Raw genomic sequence first — 20025 nt, forward strand, 5'->3', positions numbered from 1 at the left:
GCTCCAGTGGTTAGTAGGTTGCTATGTGCAAAATTTTCCAAAGGAATTTCACTTAAATAATTTCAAAGATCAATAAAAATTTCCAAAAATTTTTAGTTATAATGGTTGCCAACATCTTGTTTTGCCAAGTAAGAGTATTAAAACCAAAGATAAACAAAACTCCAACTACTATCATTATAATTTCATGAAAGGACACTTGAATAAAGAGTAAAAGATACACCTCAATAAGTTTAATTTTTTGAAACAACTTGAAATTTTCAGAAAATTGTCTTTATTTCTATTTAGATCGATGAAAACTCTTGTCATGTATCAAGAATTCTGAGGATCTGCCTTTGAAACCTGTATTTTTAGTCATTTACTTATAAAGTTTGCCCAAGATGACTGATGGAGAAGGCTATAGAGAACAGAAAAATAAGTTAACATAAGGGAAAGAGAGACTAGGGAGCAAGATATCTATTGTCACAATTGGTACCAATGATAGACATCAGTTCTGAAAAAGAGTCACCAATCAAATGTGACTTTAAGTAAAGGGTACAAGGAAGATCAAGGAAAAAGGAGGCAGACAAAACTTTAAGAAGGAAGTTTAGCAAAAAAAAAAAAAAAAAAAAAAAAGATGGCTCTCCTCTTACCGGGGATCACTTCCTTTAAGAGATCAGCAATCTGGATATGACCAACTCTTCTCCTCTTTCCTTTACAAACCCTTGCTGAATTTTCTTTGATATGAGAGGTTACTCTTTCTGTGGCTTTCAACCACTCACTACCCTCCATACAGGGATGCAAGATACATTCTGTAAGCATATAAGAAGTATTTAGATGGCTCCATACTTTCTTTGTCAGAAACAGGTAATTACTGGATAGCTGTTAAGAACAGCATCCACTTCTCCAGATCTAACCTTGAGATAAATTATAGCTGACTGGACAAGTTCAGCTACTCTTCAGATTTAAACCACACAATCTAATTCTTGTTTTAAGTCCCTCTAAAATAGAATTGTTCTAGGACTATTGACATAACAGAAAGGCACATTTTCAGACATCTACACATATATTTTTAATCTTTATTTTTATTTCATGTTTCAATAGACTCTACAGTTTGCCCAAACTACCTCAGAAAATTTAAATATAAGATAAATTGATCTACAATCATACATTACTTAACAATGGGAATACATTCTGAGAAATTAATTTATCATTGCATGAACAACACAGAGTATACTTACACAACCCTAGATAGTATAACCTACTACACACTTAGGCTCTATGGTATAGACATTATAATATTACGGGAACTTGTCATATATGCAGTCAGTCATTGACTGAAACATCGTTATGTGGCACATGAATGTATTTTACTATTCAATGTCTAACATCTTTAAAAAGTTAGCTTATCTTCTAAAACCAAAGTGTGATTAGCACTTTGGGAAGCATCATATTGCCAACAATCAATTTAACTATAAATTTTCAATAGGTTCACCTTCCATTCCAAAATTCTTGCAACTTTCGACCCCTCCCCACTACCACTGTCAAAGAATACATTCCTATGGAGAGTCGCATGAGAGCAATACAAAAAGAACATTAAAAGAAGCCTAAACTCACACCTGCTTACTTCACTTATTTAAACATTAGTCTTTCTTTTCAGTTATTCTTGGATATGTACTGAGCTATGAGGAAAAGCACCTTACATCAGCTAAAGCACCATAAGTTGTTAATAATTTTTAAAGAAAAGTTTAATAAAATATTTTTTGAAATTGCTAACATTTTCAAGACAATGTAAGATACAATCAATAGATAAAACTTCTAAGTGATTTCTTTCAGATTCAGTTTGTGTTCTTCAATGAAGTAGTAACAATCTAATTTATCAAATCATATCAAATATCTATTCCAAGTACAGCCATTCCCCAGTTACCTTGGTCTTCTAAAATGTTTGTTTTCCTACTTATTGTTAACATAAAATAAAATATTATGTTAGCTCCTGGGGAAATTTGCTTTTTAGCAATGCAAACATTTCTTTTTTTATTTGCATAGGCAAAGTAGGGTAATCATTCCTCTCTTTAAGCGACATATTTCCAGTAGAATTCTACTATTTTTGTTTCACCTGGGATATAGTATAATTCACGTATCCACACAGTAGAATTTTGTATATGCAGGAAAAAACTTAATGATATTGTAAAGTTTACTATTTTTCTCTGAATTATCTTACCTGCATCCATCAGCACTACTTTAAATAGCCTTATATTTGAGACATGGGAACAAATAAACAATTCCTTATATCTACAACATCACAACTGTTTAAAAAATATATTGAATAAGTACATATATTTAACAAAAAATATATACTGATAGTAGTTTCTTTTAACATACAAGATTATCAGTAGCTTTGTGTATGTGTTTCTTTTACTGAGTTAAAAAGTTCATCATTAATGAGTTTAAAGTGAATTAGGATATTATGAACAATATTCACTGTGACGGATCCTTACATTTTTGTGCCAAAGTTGCTCAAAACATTTTGCTAAAAAGAGATAAAAAGCCTTCCTTTTGTTCATATATTGAGACTTACCTCAAACAGAAACTTGTATTTTAAATATTTAAGAAGGGACATTTTTCTATTCCATTATAAGGCATGTTAACCACTATGGAAAACAGTATAGCTACTTTGAGAACTTGTCTTTCATATTTATATAGTTGATCCTTTAGGATTATCATCTAATGGTAGACAACACCTAGCTACATATGCATATTATTTAAAATGGTTTTGTAATACAGCTGTGCACTACATATGACATTTCAGTCAACAAGGGACTGCATATATAATGGTGGCCCATTGGAACTGAAAAATTCCTACTGCCCAGTAGCATCTTTCTTTTTTTTTGTCTTTAAGTGATAGAAGTATAGGTATTTGTTTTGTTCTGTCTACTTTCCTATAATTGCTTTTTTTATTATTTTTGTACTTTAAGTTTTAGGGTACATGTGCACAACGTGCAGGTTTGTTACATATGTATACATGTGACATGTTGGTGTGCTGCACCCAGTAACTCATCATTTAGCCTTAGGTATATCTCCTAATGCTATCCCTCCCCCCTCCCCCCACCCGACAACAGTCCCTGGTGTGTGATGTTCCCCTTCCTGTGTCCATGTGGTCTCATTGTTCAATTCCCCCCTATAAGTGAGAACATGCGGTGTTTGGTTTTTTGTCCTTGCAATAGTTTGCTAAGAATGATGGTTTCCAGCTTCATTCATGTCCCTACAAAAGACATGAACTCATCATTTTTCATGGCTGCATGGTATTCCATGGTGTATATGTGCCACATTTTCTTAATCCAGTCTATCGTTGTTGGACATTTGGGTTGGTTCCAAGTCTTTGCTATTGTGAGTAGTGCCGCAATAAACATACGTGTGCATGTGTCTTTATAGCAGCATGATTTATAATCCTTTGGATGTATAACCAGTAATGGGATGGCTGGGTCAAATGGTATTTCTAGTTCTAGGTCCCTGAGGAATCGCCACACTGACTTCCACAATGGTTGAACTAGTTTACTACTAGTTTCTAGTAGTAAAAGTGTTCCTATTTCTCCACATCCTCTCCAGCACCTGTTGTTTCCTGACTTTTTAATGATCACCATTCTAACTGGTGTGAGATGGTATCTCATTGTGGTTTTGAATTGCATTTCTCTGATGGACAGTGATGATGAGCATTTTTTTCATGTTTTTGGGCTGCACAAATGCCTTCTTTTAAGAACTGTCTGTTCATATCCTTCACCCACTTTTTAATGGGGTTGTGTTTTCTTGAAAATTTGTTTGAGTTCATTGTAGATTCTGGCTATTAGCCCTTTGTCAGATGAGTAGGTTGCAAAACGTTTCTCCCATTCTGTAGGTTGCCTATTCACTCTGATGGTAGTTTCTTGTGCTGTGCAGAAGCTCTTTAGTTTAGTTAGATCCCATTTGTCAATTTTGGCTTTTGTTGCCATTGCTTTTGGTGTTTTAGACATGAAGTCCTTGCGCATGCCTATGTCCTGAATGGTATTTCCTAGGTTTTCTTCTAGGGTTTTTATGGTTTTAGGTCTAACATGTAAGTCTTTAATCCATCTTGAATTATTTTTTGTATAAGGTGTAAGGAAGGGATCCAGTTTCAGCTTTCTACATATGGCTAGCCAGTTTTCCCAGCACCATTTATTAAATAGGGACTCCTTTCCCCGTTTCTTGTTTTTGTCAGGTTTGTCAAAGATCAGATAGTTGTAGATATGTGGCATTATTTCTGGGGGCTCCGTTCTGTTCCATTGGTCTATATCTCTGTTTTGTTACCAGTACCATGCTCTTTTGGTTACTGTAGCCTTGTAGTATAGTTTGAAGTCAGGTAGCGTGGTGCCTCCAGCTTTGTTCTTTTGGCTTAGGATTGACTTGGCAATGTGGGTTCTTTTTCAGTTCCATATGAACTTTAAAGTAGTTTTTTCCAATTCTGTGAGGAAAGTCATTTGAAGCTTGATGGGGATGGCATTGAATCTATGAATTACCTGGGGCAGCATGGCCATTTTCATGATATTGATTCTTCCTACCCATGAGCATGGAATGTTCTTCCATTTGTTTGTATCCTCTTCTATTTCATTGAGCAGTGGCTTGTAGTTCTTCTTAAAGAGGTCCTTCACATCCCTTGTTATTTGGATTCCTCGGTATTTTATTCTCTTTGAAGCAATTGTGAATGGGAGTTCACTCATGATTTGGCTCTCTGTTTGTCTATTATTGGTGTATAAGAATGCTTGTGATTTTTGCACATTGATTTTGTATCCTGAAACTTTGCTGAAGTTGCTTATCAGCTTAAGGAGATTTTGGGCTGAGATGATGGGGTTGTCTAGATATACAATCATGTCATCTGCAAACAGGAGCAATTTGACTTCCTCTTTTCCTAATTGAATACCATTTATTTCCTTCTCCTGCCTGATTGCCCTGGCCAGAATTTCCAACGCTATGTTGAATAGGAATGGTGAGAGAGGGTATCCCTGTCTTGTGCCAGTTTTCAAAGGGAATGCTTCCAGTTTTTGCCCATTCAGTGTGATATTGGCTGTGGGTTTGTCATAGATAGCTCTTATTATTTTGAGATACGTCCCATCAATAACTAATTTATTGAGAGTTTTTAGCATGAAGCATTGTTGAATTTTGTCAAAGGTCTTTTCTGCATCTATTGAGATGATCATGTGGTTTTTGTCTTTGGTTCCATTTATATGCTGGATTACGTTTGTTGATTTTCATATGTTGAACCAGCCTTGCATCTCAGGGATGAAGCCTACTTGATCATGGTGGATAAGCTTTTTGATGTGCTGCTGGATTTGGTTTGCCAGTATTTTATTGAGGATTTTTGCATCAATGTTCATCAAGGATATTGGTCTAAAATTCTCTTTTTTGGTTGTGTCTCTGCCTGGCTTTGGTATCAGGATGATGCTGGCCTCATAAAATGAGTTAGGGAGGATTCTTTCTTTTTCTATTGATTGGAATAGTTTCAGAAGGAATGGTACCAGCTCCTCCTTGTACCTCTGGTAGAATTCGGCTGTGAATCCATCTGGTCCTGGAATTTTTTTGGTTGGTAAAATATTAATTATTGCCTCAATTTCAGAGCCTATTATTGGTCTATTCAGAGATGCAACTTCTTCCTGGTTTAGTCTTGGGAGGGTGTATGTGTTGAGGAATTTATCCGTTTCTTCTAGATTTTCTAGTTTATTTGTGTAGAGGTGTTTATAGTATTCTCTGATGGTAGTTTGTATTTCTGTGGTATCAGTGGTGATATCCCATTTATCATTTTTTATTGCGTCTATTTGATTCTTCTCTCTTTTCTTCTTTATTAGTCTTGTTCGTGGTCTATCAGTTTAGTTGATCTTTTCAAAAATCAGCTCCTGGATTCATTGATTTTTTGAAGGGTTTTTGTGTCTCTATTTCCTGCAGTTCTGCTCTGATCTTAGTTATTTCTTGCCTTCTGCTAGCTTTTGAATGTGTTTGCTCTCGCTTCTCTAGTTCTTTTAATTGTGATGTTAGGGTGTCAATTTTAGATCTTTCCTGCTTTCTCTTGTGGGCATTTGGTGCTATAAATTTCCCTCTACACACTGCTTTGAATGTGTCCCAGGGATTCTGGTATGTTGTGCCTTTGTACTCATTGGTTTCAAAGAACATCTTTATTTCTGCCTTCATTTTGTTATGTACCCAGTAGTCATTCAGGGGCAGGTTGTTCAGTTTCCATGTAGTTGAGCAGTTTTGAGTGAATTTCTTAATCCTGAGTTCTAGTTTGATTGCACTGTGGTCCGAGAGACAGTTTGTTATAATTTATGTTGTTTTACATTTGCTGAGGAGTGCTTTACTTCCAACTATGTGGTCAATTTTGGAATAGGTGTAGTGTGGTGCTGAAAAGAATGTATATTCTGTGGATTTGGGGTGGAGAGTTCTGTAGATGTCTATTAGGTCCACTTGGTGCAGAGTTGAGTTCAATTCTTGGATATCCTTGTTAACTTTCTGTCTCGATCTGTCTAACGTTGACAGTGGGGTGTTAAAGTCTCCCATTATTATTGTGTGGGAGTCTAAGTCTCTTTGTATGTCTCTAAGGACTTGCTTTATGAATCTGGGTGCTCCTGTATTGGGTGCATGTATATTTAGGATAGTTAGCTCTTCTTGTTGATTTGATCCCTTTACCATTATGTAATGGCCTTGTCTCTTTTGATCTTTGTTGGCTTAAAGTCTGTTTTATCAGAGACTAGGATTGCAACCCCTCCCTTTTTTTGTTTTCCATTTGCCTGGTAGATCTTCCTCCATCCCTTTATTTTGAGCCTATGTGTGTCTCTGCACATGAGATCGGTTTCCTGAATACGGCACACTAATGGGTCTTGACTCTTTATCCAATTTGCCAGTCTGTGTCTTTTAATTGGAGCATTTAGCCCATTTACATTTAAGGTTAATATTGTTATGTGTGAATTTGATCCTGTTATTATGATGTTAGCTGGTTATTTTGCTCATTAGTGGCTGCAGTTTCTTCCTAGCCTTGATAGTCTTTACAATTTGGCATGTTTTTGCAGTGGCTTGTACTGGTTGTTCTTTTTCATGTTTAGTGCTTGCTTCAGGAGCTCTTTTAGGGCAGGCCTGGTGGTAGTAAGATCTCTAAGCATTTGCTTGTCTGTGAAGTATTTTATTTCTCCTTCACTTATGAAGCTTAGTTTGGCTGGATATGAAATTCTGGGTTGAAAATTCTTTTATTCAAGAATGTTGAATATTGGCCCCCACTGTCTTCTGGCTTGTAGAGTTTCTGCTGACAGATCAGCTGTTAGTCTTATGGGCTTCCCTTTGTGGGTAACCCGACCTTTCTCTCTGGCTGCCCTTAACATTTTTTCCTTCATTTCAACTTTGGTGAATCTGACAATTATGTGTCTTGGAGTTGCTCTTCTCGAGGAGTATCTTTGTGGTTTTCTCTGTATTTCCTGAATTTGAATGTTGGCCTGCCTTGCTAGATTGGGAAAGATCTCCTGGATACTATCCTGCAGAGTGTTTTCCAACTTGGTTCCATTCTCCCAGTCACTTTCAGGTACACCAATCAGACGTAGATTTAGTCTTTTCACATAGTCCCATATTTCTTGGAGGCTTTGTTCATTTCTTTTTATTCTTTTTTCTCTAAACTTCTCTTCTCGCTAGGTATATCTCCTAATGCTATCCCTCCCCCCTGTCCCCACCCCACATCACACCCCACAGGTGTGGGCCTGGCTTAAAAATATTATTAACATTTTTTTTTGATGTTCCCCTTCCTGTGTCCATGTGTTGTAATTTTTCTTTTTTTAAAAAAAAAGAGTCAGTCTTGACTCCTACCTCACATCATACACAACTGTCAATTTTGTATGTATACAAGAAAGAATTAAAGTCAGGCATGGTGGCTCACATCTGTAATCCCAGCAGGTGTTGTTACATATGTATACATGTGCCATGTTGGTATGCTGCACCCATTAACCCGTCATGTAAGAAATGTAAGAGAATCACAGACCAAATCACACTGTTTCTGCTTCTAGAACATTTCATCCCATCAGTTTTATTCTGAGGTTTCCTCTCCAGCAAACTTCCTGGGGGCATTTTCTCCCACATCAACAGGTAAGATGTCCAGATGGAACTTTCAAATTTTCTCTGGGGTCTTAACCTGTCTGTCTCCATTTCTTCTCTTTCATCTGCTTACAAAGTTTTTCAAGCCCCATCCTCCTTAAGAACAGATGATAAGCCACATTCTAGGAGAAGATATTTCAATTATTATATTTTACTAAGTATCTTTATCTGGAATATGTTAAAAAGACTAAAACTTCAATAAGAAAGAGCAAATTAATATGCACTTCACAAAAAATTGCTATTGAGTAATATAAAATATGCTCGACATCTTTTGCTATAAAGGAAATGCAAATTAAAAACACAACAAAGCTGGGCACGGTGGCTCACACCTATACTCCCAGCACTTTGGAAGGTCAAGTCGGGTGGATCACCTGAGGCCAGGAGTTCAAGACCAGCCTGGCCAACCTGGTCTCTACTACGACTACAAAAATTTAGACAGCCGCATGCCCCTGTAGTCCCAACTACTCAGGAGGCTGAGTATCTCATGAGATTTTCACGAGAATATCATATCATGAAAATCTCTTGATCCTGGGAGGCAAAGGCTACAGTGAGCCAAGATTGTGCCACTGCACTCCAGCCTGGGCAGCAGAGCAAGACACCATCAAAAAATAAACAAACAAAAACAAACAAAAAAACCACACACAAAATAATACTGCTCTTCATCGGAATCATTTAACCTAAAAAGTGGATAATATCAAGTGTTGCTGAGTATGTGAAGCAATTGGAACATGCATACATGGCTGATGAGACTGTAAACTGCTATATCTACACTGGGAAACTATCTGAAAATATCAACTAAAACTAAATATATATATATATTTATATATATATATATATATATATATATATATATATAACCTATGACCCCAAAACTAGACAGTTACATTTATACCCAAGAGAAGTGCATGAGCATTTCCCTTGAAGGACATGTATCGAAACACTTACAGCGGCATTAGACCTTTCAACCAAAAACTAGGGGTGCTGCAAATGTACTTGGACAGTAAAACGAATTAATGAATCATGATGTACAGTATTCAGATAATGGAATACTCCAGAGCAATAGAAAATAACTACTGCTACTAGCAACAATATATAGAAAATGAATCTAATTTTTTTTTTACAAAAATTGAGTGAAAGAATCCATACTCAAATGAGTACAGACTTGCTATGGTTTGAAAGTGTCCCCTCCAAAGCTTGGGTGTCGCCATGTGATAATTATCGAGAGATAGAGCCTTTAAGAAGATTAAGCCATGAGGGTTCCTTCCTCATGAATAATATTAGGTACCCTTATAATAAGACTTGACAAAGAAAGTTCATCTCTCTATTGCCCTCAGTTTTCTGCCATGTGAGGACACAACAAAAAGGCCATCACCAGACACCAGAGCCAGTGCCTTGATCTTGGACTTCTCAGACTCCAGAACTGTGAGAAAATAAGTTTCTGGGCCGGGTGCCATGGCCCTCTCCTGTAATCACAGCGTTTTGGGAGGCCACAGTGGATGTGGCCAGGATGAGGTCAGGAGTTCAAGACCACCCTGGCAAACATGGTGAAACCCCATCTCTACCAAAAATACAGAAAAATTAGCCAGGCGTGGTGGCACTCGCTTGTAATCCCAGCTACCCAGGAAGCTGAGACAGGAGAATTGCTTGAACCCAGGAGGCAGAGGTTGCAGTGAGCCAAGATCATGCCACTGTATTCCAGCCTGGGCAACAAGAGTGAAACTCTGTCAAGAAGAAGGAAAGAAAGAAAGAAAGAAGGAAGGAAGGAAGGAAGGAAGGAAGGAAGGAAGGAAGGAAGGAAGGAAAGAAGAAATAAAGAAAGAAAGAAAGAAAGAAAGAAAGAAAGAAAGAAAGAAAGAAAGAGAGAGAGGAAGGAAGGAAGGAAGGAAATAAGTTTTTGTTCGTTATAATTTACCAGTCTTGAGTGATTTTGTAGCAGCCCCAAATAGACTACCATCATTTCATATGATCCCATTTAAAACATAAGAAAAGTAATCTATGGAGGTGGAGGTCAGAGTTAGGATAATTGAAATGAGGCAAAAGGCAGCTGTTGGTTGCTGAAAAATTCAGTATCTTGGTCTGAGTTTTGGTTATATATATAATAAGCCATAAGCTGAATAGGTTTCATGCGTTTTATTTTATATAAATGAAGGCTTAAATTTAAATATAAGAAAAAAAAAAAAGAAGGTTCTCCTAGATACTTCCTATCCTCCAGTACATTCTCTCTTTTCCTTAGGGTTGTTTTGTTTTGTTTTGTTGAGACGGAGTCTCACTCTGTCGCATCCTGAAGATTATTAGGACTTCGATGGACTGGATAGTAGAGTGAGTCTAAGCGCCACATCCCTCCATTGCTTCCTCTGGATATGAGGGAAGAGAGGTACGTTTCTTGTCCCTAGGGAGGTAGGCTCGACCAGGAGGGACCTGGTTCATTTCGGCCAGGCTGTCACGGCTTCCAGAGCACCTCGCCGCTGTTTCCGTCCCTCAACAGACCGGCTGAGCTCTTTGGAGGGGTACATGATGTTGGGTTTTGGTTTGCGCTTCAGGAACTGCTGATACTGTAGCTTCTGAGGGAACTGCAGGGATTTCCCGATTTCCTGCGTGCCTGTGTTAAAAGTTAGAAGCGGGATCTGCTGGCAGCTTCGAGACTGAGCATGACGGTGGAAACATCTAATTTTATTAGTTTTTGCTTGAAATGCAAAAGATGAGAAAAAAAGTTCCCGTTTGTTTGCTTCACATATTTCTCTTAGAATGAAGCCGATTGAAAGTTAACTTCACCCTGAAGAAATTCCTCCTGGCGTTTGCAAAGAGCTCCTTTATGCCTCACGTCCAGCTTGGCTCAAAAGGACTCTAAAGAGCCGGAGAGCTGCTGCGGAAAGGCGGAGTCACAGTACAATCGGTGTTAACTACGTGTGCAGCCACCGTCTCCTTAGTCATATTACAGGTGCAGAAGCAGTATAGGTGGATCCCTCACAAGTCGAGTGGGTTAACCTCAGATTGACTTTAGAGATGGTTTGTGACCACCTGGTAGATGGTAGCCGTTACAGCATTTAGAAAGTGAATAAAAGAAAGGATGCATACGGAGGCCCACACGCTTGCTTGGCTTCTGCAGATGGAGAGAGAGAGGTCGCTGTTCTGCCTTCTGGGTGTTGAGTAACCTTGGCATGAAATAGAGCTGAAAATAAAAGCAGATTTTCTTTCAACAAGATAGTATTAACATGCTTGCAGAGTATTTCCCTGTGGATTTCTGCTTAGCACAGTGATACCACAAAGAGCTCTAATCTGGAGGTATGGCTTGTTCCCTAGCTTAGAAGGTGGTCAATCCTGGAGAGTAAGTACAGTGAGGTACAAAAGGATCCTTTGGGATTGGAAGAATAAGCGTTCATTACTTTTATTTATGTAAAACAACAAAATGAGCTTTCTCCTATACTGACTGACCTTGGTCCCTGGAGTTCAGAGTGTTTGCATCTCACACCAGAAGCTTCCTCAGAAGACCCAGAGAAGTACTTTTTACTTCCACCAAATTTCAGCTGAGGTGACCGCTATCTTTTCATCATTTGCTGTGTGTTTGTAGTTAAATCGTTTAAGTTTCAGAGTTTGCGGATCTCCAATGGAAAAAATGACCACCAGCACATCAAATCGTCAACCCCTGGCAGTGTAATCTTTTAGTGAAAGCTTGTAGGGCTTCTGCAACCTGGTTAGGGGGAGTTAGAAAAGGAAACAGAAAAGGACTTGAGCCTTTTAGCTTCCAATCTGAAATCAGACTTGGGCCACACAGTTCTATGGTTTCTGATGATTTCATTTACAGCTAGAAATAGGCTGGATGGCCAGAAATACTACTTGCTTCCCCCATGCGTGGTCCATGTTAGTGATTGATGGGACTGCTTAGAAAGAATAGGTGGATAATCCTAAGCAGCAAATAACCTCAAGTGAATAAACACGAGTCACCTCTGTGTATGAGAGAGAAATGCAGAGGCCAACACAATTCACCTTGACAGAAAATTCCAAAGTTGGGGAATATCATGGACCGCTTCTTACTGGTGTCCCGGGGAAGAAAACAAAACCTGGAGGTACTGGGGATTGAGCCTAGGGCCTCGTGCATGCTCTACCACTGAGCTCTACCCTCTCGGCAACCTAGATCCTTCAGAAAACCCTTTGGTGACAGCCAATATCTGAGCCTGCCCTCTGTGTCAGGATAATCACGATGTTTCCAATTCTGCTGTTAATTCCCTACACGAAGCGCTTCCTCTTTTAGGCACGGCTATACCAAAAGAAAGGTGGCTTGGCCCGGCGCAGTGGTTTATGCCTGTAATGAGAACTTTGTGAGGCTGAGGTGGGTGGATCACGAGGTCAGGAGTTCAAGACGAGCCTGGACAAGATGGTGAAACTCTGTCTCTACTGAAAATATGAAAATTAGCCAGGCATGGTGGCAGGTGCCTGTAATCCCAGCTACTTGGGAGGCTGAAGTACAGAACGGCTTAAACCCGGGAGGCAGAGGTTGCAGTGAGCCGAGATCATGCCACTGCACTCCAGCCTGGGTGACAGAGCAAGACTCCGTCTCAAAACACAACAAGAACAACAACAAAAGGTAGCTTAGTGGTAAAAATAAAGGCACTGTTCCTGATTTGTGGTCAGCCCAAGATCAACTCACCCCAAGGTGGGCTCTCCATCATGTTAGACTTCCTGGAGCATACTTCCGTTCTATCATTTGAGTGTGTCCCGGTATACGACATTCTCTTGCAAATTTTCTGATCATAATTTTCTGTAATCTTTTGACTCTTGGAAGCATGTTGGTGTTTCATATAGTCAAAAAATAAACCTGACTCAAGTGTGTGTGAAAATACCCTAAAATTGAATACAAATAGAGGCAAACTAAAACTGCATTGTGAAACAATAACATAATCCAACTGAAAAGGAAAGAACTGATCTATGAAAATGGTTTATACAGTTTGTTGTTCTAATTGTAAGATTAAAAAGAATTGCAAACAAATCTTGAACTCTGTATCAGGGTTATTTTTGTAGAGCTAGGGCTGTAAGAATTCTGAGATTTTGTGTGAATTTCAGGATTGGGAAAATGAGTGTGTGTGAGCAGGTGTGTTGTTGGAACAAGACTGTCACTGTAAGAGAAAGAAGGTAAAGAATAGTCCTGTTGGTGTTGATGGGAATTGGAGGCATCAATATGAAATTATACATATGTAATTTTATAGGCTGGGCATGGTGGCTCACGCTTGTAATCCCAACACTTTGGGAGGCTGAGACGGGCAGCTCCCTTGAGGTCAGGAGTTCGAGAACAGCCTGGCCAACATGGTGAAACCCCGTCTCTACTAAAAATACAAAAATTAGCCAGATGTGGTGGTGTGTGCCTGTAGTCCCAGCTACTTGGAAGCCTGAGGCAGGAGAATCGCTTGAACTTGGGAGGCGGATGTTGCAGTGAGCCAAGATCCCACCACCGAACTCTGGCCTGGGCGACTTAGCCTTTTCTCAAAAAACAAAAAAAAGTAAAATTTCCCTGCAGATCTGTCTGCTAACTAGGTCTAGAAGAAATACCTCAGAAACAATGAACAAAGATAATAATATTTTGATTTTCAAATACCATTCCCTACTAAAAGGCACCAGAGATACTAATAGAAAGTAGCTACTAGTGTCAACTACACTGACTCCAGGACTGGGCCAGGGAAACTACAAGATGAACCTAAGATATCTTGCTGTGCCAGAATGTTGGGGATGATTGAAAAGAACACAGAAGTGGGCTTGAAGGGAATCTCATTGACCAAATCTGACACACTTTGAACATTAATGATGACAATAAATGATTATCAATCTTGGGAACTTAAATAAATAAATATGGAAGATGGGAAGATTTTCCTTACAGTGGTATGCCAGCTAATAAATGTGGAAGGAAGGATAAAATTTGAAAATCCCCATCAGAAAATTACAAAATCTGGACACCATCAGAATGCTGATAAGTGCAGGCATAATTTATAAGTCAATACTAAAAGTATAGGTAAAATTTTGATGAGGATCAGGATATTTATATAGTCTCAGAGTATTTACCTAGAGCTTACTTATTGATTACAATGAGGAAGATGATACTTTTTCAGGGAAGAAATAGCAGCTACAAACTTAACCAAATGATCAAAGCTAACTTCACTAATAATGGGGAAAACTGACATCACATGCCTCTTGGTGTGATAGAGGATAACATGATTTTTGTGACATTTCTCCAAGTTTCCATAACCTTAATCTTATCATGAGTAGCACAAATTAAGAAACATTCCACAAAACCACTGGCATATACTCTTCAAAAACATCAATGTTGTGAAAGACACGATTGAGCAACTGTTCTAAATTAAAGGAGACTAAAGAGTCAAGACAATTAGATTCATATGTGTCTGTGAAATGGATCCTAGCTTGGGAGAGAAATTTCTGTAAAAGATTGTATTGATACAATTAGTTAAATTTTTAAAGATTGTATATTAGATAATATTATTTTATCAATGTTAAGTTTACTGAATTTGATAATTGTGCTGTGTTAAGGAATTGATCTTGTTTTAAGAAATACACATTGATGAATTTAGGGATTAAAAATATATAATGTGTGAAAATCATTATCAAATAGTTTATAGAAATAATCTTTGAGATATATATCTCAAAGTATGTGTATATATATATATACTTATGTATATGTGTGTGTGTGTGGGTGTGTGTGTATGTGTACATATATATATATATATATATATATATATATATATATATATATATATATATTCCTGTTGGGAGCAAGCTCCCCAAAATCTGGCCATAAACTGGCCCCAAAACTGGCCATAAACCAAATCTCTGGAGCACTGTAACATGTTCATAATGGCCCTAATGCCCAAGCTGGAAGGTTGTAGGTTTATGGGAATGAGGGCAAGGAACACCTGGCCCACCCAGGGTGGAAAATTGCTTAAAGGCATTCTTAAGCCACAAACAATAGCATGAGTGATTTGTGCCTTAAGGACATGCTCCTGCTGCAGTTAACTAGCCCAACCTATTCCTTTAATTCGGCCCATGCCTTCGTTGCCCATAAGGTATACTTTTAGTTAATTTAATATCTATAGAAACAATGCTAATGACTGGTTTGCTGTTAATAAATATGTGGGTAAATCTCTGTTCAGGGCTCTCAGCTCTGAAGGCTGTGAGACCCCTGATTTCCCACTTCACATCTCTATATTTCTGTGTGTGTCTTTAATTCCTGTAGCACCGCTGGGTTAGGGTCTCCCTGACCGAGCTGGTCTTGGCATATTCCACTGTTGCTGATTGTTGGTTGAAGAGGCAAGATATTCAGAAATGATCCCAAGATGTGGACAATATGTGCTTCTCAGGTGGTTCCCATTCCATTTTAAATGTTTCCATGGAGGGACAAAGATACAAATTTCTCAATTTGTATTCAAATCTAACAGGTGTTTTATTCTATTTTCCTGCTTACAATCCCTGTTTGTAAGTCAATCAACTAAGGACATCTGAAGGAAACAGAATTTAATTCTCAGAGTCAGGAAGTGATGAGAAACTGCTTTGGTAGGGAAAGTAATAGTAAATTTGTTCTTTCTTGCATAAATAAAGAAGAAAAAGAAAGAAGAGACAGAGCCAGGGAAAGAAATAGAAGGCATAACAATCCTAAATATGTAACCACCAAACAGCAGAGCTGTAACATATGTAAAGAGAAAAAAATAGTTAACTTAAAAAAAAATAGACAAATCCACAATTACTTTGGAGACTTCAAAACTTCTCTCATAATGATTGATAGAACAACTAAACAAAATCAGCAAGAATGTTGAAGAACTAGGCCGGGTGTGGTGGCTCACGCCTGTAATCCCAGCACTTTGGGAATCTGAGGCAGGTGAATCATGAGGTCAGGAGATCAAGATCATCCTGGCTAACATGATGAAACACAGTCTCTACTAAGAAATACAAAAAAATTAGCCAGGCGTGGTGGCGGGCGCCTGTAGACCCAGCTACTCAGGAGGCTGAGGCAGGAGAATGGCATGAAACCAGGAGGCGGAGCTTGCAGTGAGCCGAGATCGCAGCACTGCATTCTAGCCTGGGCAACAGAGTGAGACTCCGTCTCAAAAAAAAAAAAAAAAAAAATGTTGAAAACTCAAAATCGTCTTCAGCCACCAGAATTCAGCTAACATTTATAAAACAGTCCACACAAGAAGAGAAGAACACACTTGTCAAATCCACAGAGAATATAGGTCAAGGTAAAACATATCCTGGGCCATAAAACAAACCTCAACAAATTTAAAAGAATTAACTAATATGGTATGATCCCTGACCGCAATGAAATTAAACTAAAAATCGGTCACAAAAAGATGACAGAAAAATATCCAAATGCTTGGAAAATGAACAACACACTACTAAACAGTTCATAAAACAAAGAGAAAGCCTTAGTAGACATCAAAAAATAAGTTAACCTGAATAAAACTGAAAATACAATATATTAAAAATTCCAAGACATCCTAAAGGAGTGCTGAGAGAGAAATACACAGCACTAAGTGCACACATTAGAAAAGAAAAAAGTCCCAAATCAGTCCTCTAAACTCTTACTTGAAGAAACCAGGTGGGAAAAAGCGCAAAATAACCGAAAGCAAATAGAAGAAAGGAAATAATAAAAAATAAAAGCAGAAATCAATGAAATGGAACACCCGCACACATACAAAAAATAGAAAAACAAACAAAAAGCTAGTTCCTTTCAAGGATCAATAAAAGAAGAACTCTAGCAAGATAGAAATTTTCGGCAGAGAGATGACACAGTTTACCAACATCAGGAATAAAAAGAGGATATCACTGTAGACTCAGCCGACGTCAAAAGCATAAGGGAGGCTGGGCGTGGTGGCCCATGCCTGTAATCCCAGCACTTTGGGAGGCTGAGGTGGGCGGATCATTTGAGGCCAGGAGTTCCAGACCAGCCATGGCCAACATGGCAAAACCCCATCTCTATTAAAAAGTCAAAAATTAACCAACCATGGTGGCACATGCCTGTAATCCCAGCTACCTGGAAGGGTGAAGCATGAGAATCACTTGAACCCGGGAGACAGAGGTTGCAATGAGCAGAGATGGCACCACTGCACTCCAGCCTGGGCGAAGAATGAGACCCTGTCTCACAAAAAACTAACAAAAAAACAAACAAAAACCTCTATGGGGGGAGGGAAGGAGACCTCTTAGAACTAAAAATGTAATACAGCAAGGTCACAGGATAAAAGTCTACAGAAATAAATTATATCTCCAAATAACGGCAATGAACATGTGGATAGTGAAATTTAAAATGTAATACCATGTATTTCCTAATAGCTAGAAGAGAAAATTTGGAATATTCCCAATGCAAAGAAATGAGAAATATCTGAGGCGATGGATTTGCTAATTCCCCATATTTAATTATTACACATTGTACGCATCAAAACACCTCTCTGTGCCTCACAAATATGTGCAATTATTATGTGTCAAGTAAACATAATTAGAAAATACATTTTTTAGGGCGGCGGTGGCGGCTCCCGGGACCAGGGACTTTTGTCTGGAGCGGCTGCGTGTTTGTGTGTGGGCGGGGTCCGGAGCCACCAGGCAGTCAGCCTTCCCAAGCTTGCTCAGTCCCAGCCGCCCCTCGCGGGGGTGGGGGACCGCCCCGTGGGCCGGGCATCCCCTCAGGCGCTGCCACCCCGCCTAGCCTGAGGGGAGGAACCCGCCGGGCCTCATCTAGCGGCCCAGCCACCTCCGAAGTTGCAGCCTCTGCTCTCAGTGCTCCGGACCCGAAGCCGTCCCTTGCCCCTCCGGCCGAGGCCATGAAGATCAAAGATGGCAAGAAATCCTCTTTCCCATGGTTTGGCATGGACATTGGGGGAACTCTAGTAAACCTCTCGTACTTTGAACCTATTGCTATCACAGCAGAGGAAGAACAAGAAGAAGTTGAGAGTTTAAAAAGTATTCGAAAATATTTGATTTCTAATGTAGCATGTGGATCCACCGGCATTAGGGATGTACACCTTGAACTGAAAGATTTAACACTTTTTGGCCGAAGAGGGAACTTGCACTTTATCAGGTTTCCAACCCAGGACCTGCCTACTTTTATCCAAATGGGAAGAGATAAAAACTTCTCAATATTGCAAACGGTGCTATGTGCTACAGGAGGTGGTGCCTACAAGTTTGAAAAAGATTTTCGCACAATTGGAAACCTCCACCTGCACAAACTGGATGAACTTGACTGCCTTGTAAAGGGCTTGCTGTATATAGACTGTTGGTTTCAATGGGCATGCGGAGTGCTATTATTTAGCTAATGCCTCAGAACCTCAGCAATGCCAAAAGATGCCTTTTAACCTGGATGATCCCTACCCACTGCTTGTAGTGAACATTGGCTCAGGAGCCAGTATTTTAGCAGTCCATTCCAAAGACATCTATAAACGAATGACTGGGACAAGCCTTGGGGAGGGTACCTTTCTGGGTTTATGCAGTTTATTGACTGGCTGTGAAAGTTTTGAAGAGGCTCTTGAAATGGCATTCCAAAGGTGACAGCACATAAGCTGACAAGCTGACCCATGATATTTATGGAGGAGATCATGAAAGATTTGGTTTGCCAGGTTGAGCTGTAGCATCTAGTTTTAGGAATATGATTTATAAGGAGAAGCGAGAATCATCTGTTAGTAAAGAAGATCTGGCAAGAGCTACTTTAGTTACTATCACCAATAACTTTGGTTCTGTGGCACGAATGTGTGCTGTTAATGAGAAAATAAACAGAGTTGTCTTTGTTGGAAACGTTTTATGTGTCAATACCCTCTCAATGAAACTTTTGGCATATGCACCGGATCTTTCGTCAAAAGGTCAACTGAAAGCATTGTTTCTAGAACATGAGGGATACTTTGGAGCAGTTAGTGCACTTCTTGGGCTGCCAAATTTCAGCTAAAGCTCCAGGTCTCTCTCTCAGCTAATAAATGTCATCCAAGAGGAACTGAAACCAGAGGCATTATTACTGCATTGTTTGTCACTGGCAACCAAAGGATAAAAGAGTAGCATAAGCTGCTGAATGTTGCCATATTAAGGGAGAGAATTTAGTAACGTGAAAAAAAAAATTTAAAAAGACAGTAAACTGTATAATCTCTGACAAAAAGGAAATACTTAGACGTAAATCTAACAGAATCTGAATAATGCTGAAAAAGACACAATGTAATGTAAGGCGGGCGTGGTGCCTCCAGCCTGTAATCCCACTTTGGGAGGCCGAGGCAGGTGGATCACCTGAGGTCAGGAGTTCAAGACCAGCCTGATCAACATGGTGAAACCCCATCTCTACAGAAATACAAAACTTAGCCGGGCATGATGGCAGATGCCTGTAATCTCAGCTATTCGGGAGGCTGAGGCAGGAGAATTGCTTGAACCCGGGAAGCAGAGATTGCAGTGAGCCGAATTGCACCATTGCACTCCAGCCTGGGTGATAAAGCAAGACTCCGTTAAAAAAAAAAAAGAAACTTACACAATGTAATGTACACAATGCTGATGAAATAAGTTTAAACAAACTAAAAACACACACAAAAAACTAAATAAATGGAGAGATGTACAGTGTTAACAGTTTGCAAAACTCAACACGGTAAAGATGGCAGTTCTTCTCAAATTGACATATAGGTTCAATGAAATTCTTATCAAAATCCAAGCAAGATTTTTATTCTAAAATTTATGTAGGAAGTTAAAGGAATTAGAATAGCTAAAATAATTATTAAGAATAAAAATATAAGGGGAAGAAACAGTCAACTTGACTTCAAGACTATTGTATTACATTGTTGTATGCTTGTATTATTGTATAAGAAAGGCAGTAAGCAAGTCCGGGCCCCCTGGCTCATGCCTGTAGCCTCAACAACACTTTGGAAGACTGAGGCGGGAGAATTGCTTGAGCCCAGGAGTTGC

General features: G+C 39.0%; 1 pseudogene; it reads left to right on the forward strand.

Annotated features, from left to right (window-relative positions):
- Positions 17836–19191, forward strand: PANK3P1 (PANK3 pseudogene 1; annotated as a pseudogene).

The sequence above is a fragment of the Homo sapiens genome, chromosome 11, assembly GCF_000001405.40.
Source record: "Homo sapiens chromosome 11, GRCh38.p14 Primary Assembly".
Taxonomy (NCBI): domain Eukaryota; kingdom Metazoa; phylum Chordata; class Mammalia; order Primates; family Hominidae; genus Homo; species Homo sapiens.